Source organism: Homo sapiens, chromosome 2 (genome assembly GCF_000001405.40).
Source record: "Homo sapiens chromosome 2, GRCh38.p14 Primary Assembly".
Lineage (NCBI taxonomy): Eukaryota > Metazoa > Chordata > Mammalia > Primates > Hominidae > Homo > Homo sapiens.
The window spans coordinates 236,578,446-236,591,297 of record NC_000002.12 but is presented as its reverse complement, the minus strand read 5'-3'; the positions used below and the strand labels follow the sequence as shown (position 1 = coordinate 236,591,297).

The 12,852-nt window shown below is 49.9% G+C and overlaps 1 protein-coding gene across 5 annotated transcripts in view, besides 2 other annotated features; it reads right to left on the bottom strand.

Annotated features, from left to right (window-relative positions):
* Positions 1 to 8,943: 8,943 nt before the first annotated feature.
* Positions 8,944 to 12,852, bottom strand: part of ACKR3 (atypical chemokine receptor 3) — a 45,233-nt gene continuing 41,324 nt past the window's right edge. For 4 of the 5 annotated variants that reach the window (XM_005246098.4, XM_047445135.1, XM_005246097.4 and 1 more), the window contains one exon: positions 8,944 to 10,858. In XM_005246098.4, the coding sequence (XP_005246155.1) occupies positions 9,744 to 10,832 (1,089 nt within the window). In that variant the 5' untranslated portion in view covers positions 10,833 to 10,858 and the 3' untranslated portion in view covers positions 8,944 to 9,743. Of the gene's footprint in view, positions 10,859 to 12,229; positions 12,292 to 12,852 lie in introns of all 5 variants that reach the window. The other variant, XM_047445136.1, reaches the window with a different exon arrangement.
* Positions 10,538 to 11,737: an enhancer, noted in NCBI's record as "MED14-independent group 3 enhancer chr2:237488204-237489403 (GRCh37/hg19 assembly coordinates)". NCBI's record gives its function as "activates an origin of replication core promoter dependent on BRD2, BRD4, P300/CBP and CDK7 cofactors, and independent of MED14, by STARR-seq in HCT116 cells {active_cell/tissue: HCT116}" and the evidence as "EXISTENCE:reporter gene assay evidence [ECO:0000049][PMID:35650434]".
* Positions 10,708 to 11,360: an enhancer, noted in NCBI's record as "H3K4me1 hESC enhancer chr2:237488581-237489233 (GRCh37/hg19 assembly coordinates)". NCBI's record gives its function as "activates a minimal SCP1, AML or CMV promoter by ChIP-STARR-seq in primed H9 embryonic stem cells {active_cell/tissue: H9 hESC(primed)}" and the evidence as "EXISTENCE:reporter gene assay evidence [ECO:0000049][PMID:30033119]".

Sequence of the window (12,852 nt, the reverse complement as noted above, 5' to 3'; positions counted from 1 at the left end):
AGAGGCAGAGACGGGAGTGATGCATCTTCCAACCCAGGCTTGCCGGCCACACCAGAAGCTGGAGGAGGCAAGGAACCCACCACCACCCCGCAGACCCTCCAGAAGAACCAACCCTGAACACACCTTGACTTCTGGCCCCCAGAAGTGTGACAGCATGAATCTCGGTGGTTGTAATCCAACCAGTTTGTGGCAATTGGTCACGGCGGCTTTAGGAAGCTAATAGAGTCCTCACACTGTCTGAGCAGGAGGCAGGAGGCAGCAGGCAGCATGCCTGGGCACAGGCTTTAGCCCTGACCAGTGGCGTTCAGACTCCAGCTCACAGGCCAGTGCCCTGCGGCCCCTCACCCCCACTCCTGCTTCCCTTCTTTCTGAAATGAATGGCCTCGTCCTTTGCACTAGCACTGCCTACCTGGCTGGGATGGGTTGTGGCGGCACACAATGGCTCTTTCTGTCTCTGGGTTGAATTTTAGGCTGTACATGAGGGGCTAGGCACACAGCAAGTGCTCAGTAATTGCTCCTATTTCATTCATTACTTTGTCTCTGTTAGGCTTGTGTCCCCCCAAAATTCATATTTTGAAGCCCTCACCCCCAGTGTGGCTATATTTGAAGTAGGGCCTCTACGGAATTAATTAAGCTTAACTGAGGGCATAAGGATGGGGCCCTGAACCAATAGGATTTTTGTCCTCTTAGGAGAGACACCAGAGAGCTCATTCTATCTCTCCCTGCACAGAGAGGCCATGTGTGTACACAGTGAGATGGCGGCCACCTCAAAGCCAAGACAGGAGGCCTCAGAATGAAACCTCCCTCGGGGGCACCTTGACCTTGGACTTCCCAGCCTCAGGAACTCTGAGAGATTTCTGGTGTTTAGGCCTCCCAGTCCGTGATGTCTTGTTGCAGCAGCTGAGCTGACTGATACATCATCTGAGCTCTGTTCTCCTGGGGCCTCCTTTGGCCCTAAGCTGAGGATTTGGGAGCAAGTACCCCAGTCAGGGAGTGGGTGAGGCAGGAGAGGGGAGGGGAAAAATCCAATGGAAGGTGTGATCAAGGGGAGACTCAAAGCATAACGCACACCCTGAAGCTGGTCCTGCCTTGTGGCACAGGAGCTGGGCTCTTACACAGCCATACTGCCAGGCACTGACTGTGGGACTCCAAGGCATGTCCAGCCCTCCTTATGTTGAGGGGTCCCAGTACCCAAGGGCAACAGCTTGAGGGGTGCAGGTCAAGTTTTCAGTAACTCAGTGCACGGGCCTTGTGGGGAAGGGCCGGGTAGAGGGCAGGGGATAGAGAGCCGTGGGCACCAGGCACCTCTGCCCGTGCCCAGATTGGGTTTTGCATGTAGAGATGACCCTAATTCCTTGGCTTAAAAAAATTTGGTGTAGGGGAGGGTGCAATATGACGAAGACACTGGGTCTTGCTGACCAGGTGAGACTGTGAGCGATGGAGACACTGGGTCAGGGCTGGCCAGGTGAGACCGTGAACCCAGTATGAAAATGTAGTCTCCGCCTCCTCTGAACCGCCACGGAGACCAGCATAGGCCACTGCGGTGTGTGCCACCAGGCAGGGATGAGGAGAGGAGCTCAGGCTTACAGAGAGTTGCCCCTTCCTTCTGGAAACACACGTCCAGTGGTACCTTCTACAGCAGGGAAGAGCTGAGAGCCATGATAGAATTAAAATTTTGCTTCCCCACAAGTTCTATTTATACTAATCCTGTGATTGTCTCAAGAGGCCCCGCCTTGGGTGCGGGGGTGAAAACTGCTTGCTGCCATTGGTGTCTGGGTCTCAGCCCAGGCTTGTGCTCATGAACAGTGCTCCAGAGGGTCTCCCACCAAGCATCGCATACTCTATGAGCACCGCCTGCAGCAAGGGTGTGGCTCAAGGGTCTGCCTGGGGTCAAGCGATCCTCAAGAACAACCAGAGCTTTCGAAAACCTCCAGGGAAAAAGGGAAACCCATCTGACAGATGTCGTTTTTGGCTAAGCAGGATTCCCAGATAGTCATGAACTCCGAGCTGCTTGTTTGATTGTCCGAGCGGGGAAGACAAGGTCCCTGGCTGCACAGCAAAGCCAGAAGGAGGCTACAGCCATTGACCTGCAGAGCCCAGAGGCCTCTCTGTCCACTTTCCCGACTTCCTGGCTCCAAGCCTCTTTTTCTGTCCTCACTGGTAGTGGCCATGATGACCTTTGATTCCTGCCATCAATAGCTCTTACCGCACAATGATGACAACATCAGTGTTTGTCAACTTCTGAACACCTCTCAGACACCTCCGCTTTTCCTTGAAGTGTCTACCCCCAAAAGTGATGGCATCCCAGGAACTGAGGCCTGCCATCCCCATACCTCATCCCCGGGGCTTGCCCTCCGAGGTTCTGGCCATCGTTGGGCCAGGATAGGAGGACTCCTTTTTAAGCCTTCCCAATTCCCCCAATCTAAAGGATCCTTCCAGAATCCTTCTCACCATGTTGCCCCTTAATGATTTCTCTACGTCTCATTCCCCCTCTCCCCTTCCAGGCTGGGAGCATTTTAACAGGAAAAAAAATCACCCTCGGCCATCTGTGACATTTTTAAGACAAGCACAGAGCAGGGCACACAGTGGTCGCGCACTAAAGCTTGTCCATCAGTGAGTGAACGAACAAACGTGTGGATGGATGAATAAATTAACAAGAACGAGTGTGGAATATGTCGCAGGGAAAGACATTCACCGTCTGCATAGCTGGGCAACGGACGATTTTTCATTTACACTTTGGGCTGCGCATGAAATTAAAATTCTCATTACAGTGTGGCACGAAACACAATTCACACTTTTAACAACGGCCCTGAGAAACGCAACGGTGGGGAAACCTTTAATGCGTTCGTCCTATTGACGAGCCCCGCGTAAAGGAATGAAAAGATTAGCTTCAAACACTTTCATGTGAAAGGCTAAAAGGAAGCAAATCCAGCATGGCACGGTGGAGCCCAAGGCCCTTTCAGACACGCCACCGCCACCGACAGGACATGTTTGCCGCTCGCCCCATGACATGTTGCCGTGCCAACATACATTCTGAGTCACCCAAGCAGATTTAATGCCATTGCCACAATGACTTTCTCTTTGCCTTTTCTTCTGAAAACTGTGAAAGGGAAGATGCCGACCTACCTAGGAAATGATTTTAATCAGTTTAGTTCCGGAAATAACTATGGAAATTCAGATTTTTTCATTCTGCTGCTTCTGAGCATTACAGGGAACAAATGGCTGATGAAGCCACCACTTTTTTTCTCCCAACCTGTCGGGAGAAATGACATGATTGTCAGCCGTTCCGAATCCCACATGGAAAGGTCTGGGTGCATAAGCATATGAAAAGCCAACAAAAATGAAGCTTTTGAAAAATAAGAAAAACTCCAGAATTGGGCATTCCTCTTCCCATGCCATCCAGATAACCATATCCCCCTTCACAGGGGTCCTGTCCCCAGGGCTGTTGATGTCAGAGCTGGAGAAGCCCAGCCCTGAAAAACCTAGACAAAGGCCATGAGCACCGCGCCTGACAGCAATAGACAGGTGAACATGAACCCCTTGTAGACTTCAGACAAACCCGGAACGAATGAGGCACACTAGAGGCGTGATAGATTTCAATACTGTGACATAACTGGACAGCACGTGGGTTAAGCATTGGGCAATATAAAAATGAATCATGCCGATAACAAAACGAAAAAAAGCTTAGAAAAGGGTTAGGAACATTTGCGTGGCCCTACGCAGGTTTCAAAGTACTTCACTCATTCTTCTGTCCATTCACTCAACTGCATTGATTCGCATATATGCTCTCTTTCAATCTCTACAACAATCCTTTAATAAAGGTGGAGAGGTAATTTTGAGGGTGAGGAAACTGAGGAGAAATATTTCTAATGCCATGGAGCTAATAAGAAGCAGAACTGAATCTATCACCCTGGTCTCATGCAGTCCTGTCCACAGCTCTGTCCTGCTAACCGTGTTCTTTCTGGAGCTTTTTAGGCAAAATACTTTAAATCTTAAATTACAATTTAAAGCTTCCCAAGGGTACTTAAAATGTCTACTAATGTTTAATTTGTGTGTTCCTATTTCAGGAGTACATCTTTTATGTAAATGGCAAATGCCCCAAATTCCTGTAGTTGAAACATATTTGGGCACAGTGGAGATGCTGGCGTGAATCCACATTGCATGATTGTCTGTGCTGCCCTGGCCTGTTAGGGTTCTGCTGAGTTGAGGGGCAGGAAATGGAGAAGCCATGGCTCTAAGGACTCAGATGCTTTTCCCCAGGTGCTCTGTGTACCCTCAGTGAACTCCCTAGGCAGTGAATGGCATCCAGAAGTCTTGTGTCTTAATGGTTGGCTTTATCCTAGGCCAGGGTCTCTCCACCTCCACTCAGTTGACATTTGGGACTCAGTAATTGTGTTAGTCTGTTTTCACACTGCTGATAAACACATACCGGAGACTAATTTATAAAGAAAAAGAGGTTTCATGAACTCACAGCTCCACATGTCAGGGGAGGCCTCACAATCATGGTGGAAGGTGAAAGGCATGTCTTACATGGTGGCCGGCAAGAGAGAAGGAGAGCCAAGTGAAAAGGGAAACCCCATATAAAACCATCAGATCTCATGAGACTTATTCACTACCACAAGAACAGTACGGGGGAAACTGCCCTCATGATTGGGAGGAGGCTCCAGGAAACGCCATCAAGAAAGCCAAAGCTGCTTTTCTACCAGCTGCCTCAAGTTATCTCCCACCAGGTCCCTCCCACAACATGTGGGAATTATGGGAGCTAGAGTTCAAGATAAGATTTGGGTGGGGACACCGTCAAGCCATATCAGTAATTCTCTGTCTGGGGGCTCTCCTGTGCACAACTGGCTGTTCAGCAGCATTCTTGGCCTTGACTCACAAGATGACATTAGCATTCCCCACCCCAAGTTGGGACAACTAAAGATATCTCTGGACATTGACAAATGTCTCCTGGGGGTGCAAATTGTCCCCAGTTAGAATGAGTTTGAGACAGATGTGCCTCATCTTTTCACTCACCACCCACAGGCAGATATTCTCTTGCCCGATTTCTCTGAAATGCATTGTTTCTTCTCAAGAAAAATGCAAATTATGCCCAGAGAAAGTGGTCAGAATGGCTGTTGTTCTCTGAGCATGTACTATGTGTGCCCCAGGCACCGTGACATGCATTTTGCAGAGACTGTGCGATCTGATCATTACGATTACCCTATGAATCAAGTACTATCATCGTCCAACATTATAAACAAGGAAGCTAAGTTTAGCAAAGCTAAAACCTGGCCCACATTCCCCAGGATAGTAAACAGTGATGGTTCTTTGGGCTACACACTTGGCAGAGGCCTGAGACTTTGAGAAGGCGGATCTCAACCCTGTGGCCCAGGCTCTCGCTAGGATGGTCCTAAACATGCACATGGAAACTGTGTCCAGGAGTGTGTGTTGGTCACACAGATGGTAGCAAGTCTAGGTGTATGCACAGGTCTGTGTGAGCGTCAGAGACTGCACGAGGTGAGCAAACTCTGCTACTCTGCCAGAAGAGTTTATGGAAGAGTCAGGCCGTCCTCAGCCATCCTCAGGGCAAACGAACCACCATAAATCTCAACCACTTTCGAGTGGTTTAATGTCCTATCAAACCTCATTCAAACTAATCGTGTTCCATATCAAATGTCATTGATATCGAGACTGTGGGATCTTAGCAGTCCCTGCATAAATGCAAACCACCAGGGAGCTTTTCCTGGGAAATCCAAGACTAAGAAACAGGAAGTGGGAAATGTTCTATAGCGGTGGGTCGATCTTTTAAAGCATTTAGCCCACCTGAAACCACTGCCCCTGAAGGACTAAAATCTCAGTGGCATAGGCCCATGCAGAGGTATCCCTGGCACTTAGGGGCAAAAGCTCATACCTCCAGGAGAAAGCTCTGGGAACTTTCTCTGCTGTCTTCCTCAGCCATCCATCCCAACAGTACAGATCCACAGCACGCCACTTTTCCCCAGAGTTCTGAGACACCTGTGCTTACCTAAATGTGATGTCTCCCAGATCCATTACATATATACAGCCAATATCCTCAGAGTAGAAGCCCAGTAAGGCAGAATTTCCACATTCCTAATAAAATAGACCATGCCCCGGAGCTGCTGCCTCCTGGAGAGGCCCCAGGAAGCATCGGCTACAGAAGATTTAAAATGTATTGCTGCTCTGCCCAGATCTGACCACAGATATCAGTGGGGTCCCATCCCAGGTTGCTGCGAGACTCTTGGAAGGACCAAAAGCCATCAGCCAGCAAATAGATCGTATTCCCTTGTGCTCAGATGATTTTCCATCTGGGCTTTTCAGCGGCATTATTTTTCTTCTTCACTTGTGGGGAACCTGGGGTACAATCAAGGTCAGCAGCTCATACGTTGAACCAGATGGAAAGCATTTAACACTGACTCACTGATGACGGGCTGCCATCCGGGCTGCTGGGGGTGGCCTTCCGCTGCCCACCGCCCGCCATGCCTTGGGCATTTCAACCATGAAACAGGAGCAGAGTATTAGAGCCTGGGATGGGAGGAGGCTCCAGGAAGCGCCATCAAGAAAGCCAAAGCTGCTTTTCTCCCAACTCTGAGGTCCCACCCTGTGCCTGGGGCTCCAGACATCCTTCCTGGGGTCCAAGGTCATGGCGCTAACAGCTTTCTTACCACATCAGGAGGCGGGTGTCTTGGAAGATCTGTACAGAGAAAAGGACGCCAAAGAATGACCCTCCAATGGCAGCACTGCAGGCCCTCTAGTCCCTGGATTTGAGGAGAGCCAGGGGTCTCCTGTCCACCCCTCCTCCCTTCAAGGCCCACCCCATATCCAAATACAGCTCAGGATTCTCTCTGCCTCTTCTACACCACAGTCATAGGGTGGGGCTGATTTTTTTTTTTTTTTCAGTATTAACTCCCCTCCCCTCAGGACACTCTGTGTCCCTTGACCCAGCCTCTGTTATCCCACCTGGCTCCAGGGAAGGACCCTGCAGTGGAAATCAAAGGAAAGAGATTTTGAGTCCAGATAACTAGGAATAAACCAGCAAGTCTTCCAGCCCCAGGCAGGACAAAGAAGGGGATTTCTAGAAGGAACAGAAAGAACACAGTCACTGGAGCATTCCCGAGATGGAGCCTGCCCCTGCAGACAGCAGACCCCAGGGACGTCGGAGGGTCTGGGACAGTAGGCCACGGTGCCCTGGGCCCTGTGGGAGATGGAAAATCCCCCCAAAGCAAAAGGTGCCACCTGGTGAGTCCGGGTCCAGTTCAGTGTCACCCTCCCTCCCCACCCCCTCCACTGCAGTGTGGGAGGAGGCAGCTGGGGCAGCCCCCAGGCTGCAGAACAGCAGAAAAACAGAAAAGGGCCAGACCAGTCTCACCATCCAGCGAGGCAAAAGCAGCAGCAAGAGCCACATGAACTGGGGTGGCAGAGGAGCCCTGCAGAAGGATCGACAGGTCCTCTCAGACATCCACGTAGACACACAAGCCTGAAAGACCCTCACCCACCCCAGCACTGTTAGCCCCCGGGAACCTACTGAAATTCTAGGGTAAGCGGGTGGGAGAGACCGCTGGATGGACCGCGATGGCAATTCAGCATAGCAGTTCAGTTGAATGCCTTTTACCGCCCATCTATTGCAAGGCTGAGCATGTGGACTGCAATTGATGCCCTCCTCCCCCTCCCCATTTTGAATTTACTACTGGAAAAGTGTATTTCTGCCTGAACTTGACCCCTAGAAGGCTCACAGCAAACATGCAAGCCATTTTTATCGTCAAGGAACACATATTTGGGTCGAGAACTTTCCCGATTCCATGTTGCCATCCTACCTACTCTTATTTTCCCTTCTTCTTGGTATCTTTGCCTCTTGTATGCTGTTATCCCACTATCTACATCATTGTTATCGGACCAGAATCCCACTGAAGACCAGGTGTATATATGCACCTGAGGATGTACATGTGTATCAAGAACATATTTCCAGTAAGTTACAGCCCTAGTTTCAAAACTCTAAGCTGTGAAGACCTTTGCAGGAAATAGGATTCCCCTGTAGTGCACTCGGTCTATGGGCCCCTGGGGACTGCAGGGCTGCCCATTGTGGGTCTGTGGGGCAAGGACTTGCACAAGGTGCTTTCCAACCTAGCAGCAGCGCCCAAGCCCACAGGTCAGACGAGCATCTGGGTCTGCCTTTGGGTTGGCAAACAGCTCTCTGTGCAGAGAGGTCTTGGCAGAGGTGGAGGTGGTGAGGGCAGTGCTGGGAGCCCAGCCCCTCTCTGAGCCCCTGCCCAGCTGACTCGTCTGTTGAAGTCTCCGCCATTCTTGTGGCTCCAGGTAGAGTTAGAGAGGGCACAGCAGGAACTGGCCATTCTGAGAGCACTCTTTCCAACCACTAGTAAGGACATGCGCAAGCTGGGGATTCGCTCATTGTGTGGCCTCAAGGGGGTAGCTGATTGGCATGGTTTAAATGAAAACTCTCAATAGGAAATATTGCCCCTGGAGGTGTTTACCTTAGCAGATGAGATTTAAGGGGCTGTGCCACTGGCCCTGGAAGCACACAGGTGGTACAGATGAGGACACCAGTCCTGCACCCTGAAACTCTCCTGTCTGGACGGAGAGTTCAGACAGGTTCAGAACAGAGATGGCTCTGGCCAGCAGGAAGTAGAAGCAAGTGGCACCTTCTCTGTGCCAGCCTTCTCTCCTAGCTGGACCCTAGCAATCATCCCCCACACCAAAAACACTATTGCCTGAAAATTTTTTTAAAAACCATGCAGTGTGCTCAAATGATTTTTTCTTTTTATATCATTTCAAACAAGTTAACCTGGTAGCTTTTGCTTTACAGCAGCACTCTTTTTCTGAGCATGTTCATGCAGGTGGCCTGTGTGTGCCATATATATCCATGAATTATTATCATGTGTGCTATTCAAGTGCCAAAACACACTTTGAAAACTGAGACTTGATGCATTTTTAGGAAACAAAAATCTTTATTAAAAAAAAATAACTTACAAATTGAGAGAACTCTCTGAAATGCAACTGTTCGTTGTGTGTGCAGATTTGCAGTCCAGAACAGTTTTTTGTTTATTTTAAAATGTAACTTTACAATACTATTAATGTCACAAACTGCATTACAAAGCAGTTTTCGTTCCATATCCCGTGCCGGTACAAAACACCACACAGATATAAAACTATGGTAAATAAAACATTTCAGCCAAGACTGGCATATATTTATATATTTATATATATTTATATATATATAATTTCAAAACAGCTAACAATTAGTGTCATCCTTAGTCAAAACTGAAGTCACGCTAACCTTAAAACTACAACACTCTGAATATATGTCAGCACTATGCCTCCCAAACAATATTTAAAATATATTTAACTTTCAAATACATTTATAAGGTACACCAATAGTGAGAAAATAAAGTCTTAAAATTTAAATACAAATCACCATATAAAAAATTCAGGAAACACAGAAAATCCTATCTTACAGAAGTCCAGGCAAGCCTGTCCTCAGCTGGCTCTGACGCACAGCACTGCTGTGCGACACAGCTCTGCCTGTTGCAAAACTGTCAGCACGCACAGCCAAATGACAGCTGCGTCATCAAGAGAAAGAGAGAATGGATGCAGGGGGCACGTGCTCCCCTCTTCACTCTACTCAAGCATCAAGACCCGAAGCTACTTTGCTTTGCTCTAGAAAACCATAGGGCCCATCACCCTGTTCAAAAACAAGTAAACCCGTCCCAGAGCCTCTCCAGGGCAGATCATTTGGTGCTCTGCTCCAAGGCAGAGTACTCCGTCTCTGAGACTCTGGAGGCATCGATGAGCTTGGTGAGCCCTGTTTTGGCCGAGTACTTGAAGATGAAGGCCTTCATCAGCTCGTACCTGTAGTTGCGATTGATGAAGCTGTAGAGGACAGGGTTGACGCAGCAGTGCACCAGCGACAGGCACTGTGTGACATGCAGGGCCGTGAAGAGGGCGTGCTCCAGCCGGCAGGTGAAAGGGATGTAGTGCAGGATGGAGAAGATGTCCAGCAGCACCGCCACGTGGTAGGGCAGCCAGCAGACAAGGAAGACCACCACGTAGGAGAAGATGATCTTCCGGCTGCTGTGCTTCTCCTGGTCACTGGACGCCGAGATGGCTCTGGCCAGCAGGAAGTAGAAGACAGCGATAATGGAGAAGGGAACGGCAAAGCCCAAGACAACGGAGACCAGCTCCATGCCGATCAGCCACTCCTTGATGCTGTGCTCGGGGTAGAAGGACCGGCAGTAGGTCTCATTGTTGGACGCAGACGTGACGGTCTTCAGGTAGTAGGTGTCAGGCAGAGACACGCAGAAGGCCAGCAGCCACACCAGGATGCAGACGACACGGCGTACCATCTTCTTCCTGCTGCTGGGGGTGTTGGTGAAGTAGGTGATGGAGAGGTAGCGGTCCACGCTCATGCACGTGAGGAAGAAAATGCTGCCGAAGAGGTTGATGGAGAAGATGAGGTGTGTGACTTTGCACGTGAGCTCGCCCATGGGCCACTGGTTGTGCTGCACGAGACTGACCACCCAGACTGGGATGGTGAGGACAACCCACAGGTCGGCAATGGCCAGGTTCAAGATGTAGCAGTGCGTGTCATAGCCTGTGGTCTTGGCCTGGATATTCACCCAGACCACCACGGAGTTGGCAATCATGCCGATGACGAAGATGAAAATGTAAATGAAGGAGAGCGTGTAGAGCAGGACGCTTTTGTTGGGCATGTTGGGACACATCACCGTGTCCACCACGATGCAGTCGCTGCTGTTGCATGGCCAGCTGATGTCCGAGAAGTTCCCTGGCTCTGAGTAGTCGAAGAGATGCAGATCCATCGTTCTGAGGCGGGCAATCAAATGACCTATGAGAAAACCAAGCAAACAAAAAAGATGGAAGAGGAAAGTCACTTCATTAGGAAAAACTCAAGTTTCAGGCAAAAATGCTTTTCCAAGGCCCTGATAGGCTCAGCTGTTTGGGTTTAGCTCTGTAATGTCTTTGCAAAGAAGGGAGAAAAAAAATTCATAATAAAACTCTCCAAAACAAAATAAATCATACTCTGAATCTAAATCCATGTGGTGCTCCAAGACAGAAACTGTGTTTGCTTTCTCCATCTTTTCATGGCTGTGTTCTCAAGACACCGCCAGCATGGCTGTGCCCAGTGTGTGAAATCAACACAGTACAGGGGCCAAAGAAACGTCAGGCAGCTGAGCCCCGGCCACCGCGATGCTGATGGCCTGCTCACTCTCAGCAGGGGACAGTGGAGCCATTTTATCTAGGTCCCCAAAGAATGGCAGGGTTGTCCTCTCCTGGCACTGCTGTATTACAAGTGTCCTGCTTTGGTGTCTTAATGAAAGCATTTCAAATCCTCCTCCAAATTTGCATTTATAATGTGACTCAGCACTTTTTACTTGTCTGCTAAATTCACATATAAACCTGGGTCTCAGGCGGCCCCAGTGTGCAGTCATAAAGCCTCTGGAAACACAGTGAGCCTACGCAGGGTGCCCCACAGCTTAACTGCGCCCCAAACCTGAAGACTCTGGGTTGGCCGTGTGGTTTTCAACGAAGGGCAACCAACCAGCTGTCTCAAGCTTTGGGTCAGCACCTGTTTTTCCATTCCTTTATTTGTTCAACTGCTTCAACAGCAAGGTGTGCCAAGACTCAAAACACAAAAATCACCACCTGCTGCATTTCAGGAGGGCTGACCATTTTCCCAACTGTTTTCCCTGCTGACCTGAGGTGAGACCAACACTCCATCACCATTTCACTCCCAGCCAGAATTCAGCCACGGGGTACCATTGTTATCTGGCACTGATTTCTTCAGATAGACTGACAGGGGCTGTCTTCTACTGTCAGTCCGCCCATGGGAAGGCCCTGAAATCCCTCCAGGCCACAGTCCTGGGTCAGCAATTAGCCCTGCCTGAACCCCACTGTAAAATGAAAACCTCAGCCCAAGGATGCACTGTTGACAGTGACATAGTCAGGTGGTTGCCCTTCCCCCTCACCTGTCCCAGGTAATGACTGGCCTAGAGTCAAGACATTATTTACCGAGTTCATTTAAAGTGGATTCCAGGTTACATATGAGAATTTCCTGGAGGATCAAGGACAAGGGTCAGGGGATCAGGGTCCGGGTGGCTACGCTAGCGGTATGCAAAGCCACAGCTGGGAAGCCGCCCACTCCGAGATCAGACATTCCTGGGTTGGGATTCTGGCTCCTCTATTCATTAGCATTTACCTTGAGAGTTAATCTGTCTGCATCTACCTCCCCAGGACAGCAGCACCTATCTCACAGATACCCTAAGAAGAAAGAAGAAAGGGCCTAATTGAGAGCTTGGCCCTAGCCGATGCTCAATAAAACGTCACCCCCTTCTCCCTCCCTGGCCAGGAAGAAAGAACCCTGGGGATTCTCCCACCTAAGGGAGCGGTTTTTCCCTTCAGCAAAAAGCAGAACCTTGTTTAATTCTATTCCCCTGGAAACCTGGCTCTCACTGGCTGAGTAGTAAATGCCCCCGGGGGAGCTCGCACAGAGACTGGGTTGTTTGATGGGCTTCTCCTTTGGGACAACTTGAACAGAATCCCTGAAAAGTGAGAAATTTCGCGGCCTCGGCTCCACAGCCTCCACATTCACAGCAGAGGACCTGGCGTGAACCCCACTTAGCGGAGACTGTTGCGGGCTTCTGGGCACTTCCCTCTGCGGGATGTAAATGACTGTGGGGTCCCCTCCTCGTGACCTAACCTGACTCAGTGTCCTCCACGGCTGACAGAAAGGGCTGGGCCTCCCAAGACAGCCGCATCCCCTCCACACTCTGAAAGCCTTCCATGGAGGGAACCACGCTGGTCCTGCAGCGGGAGGCCTGG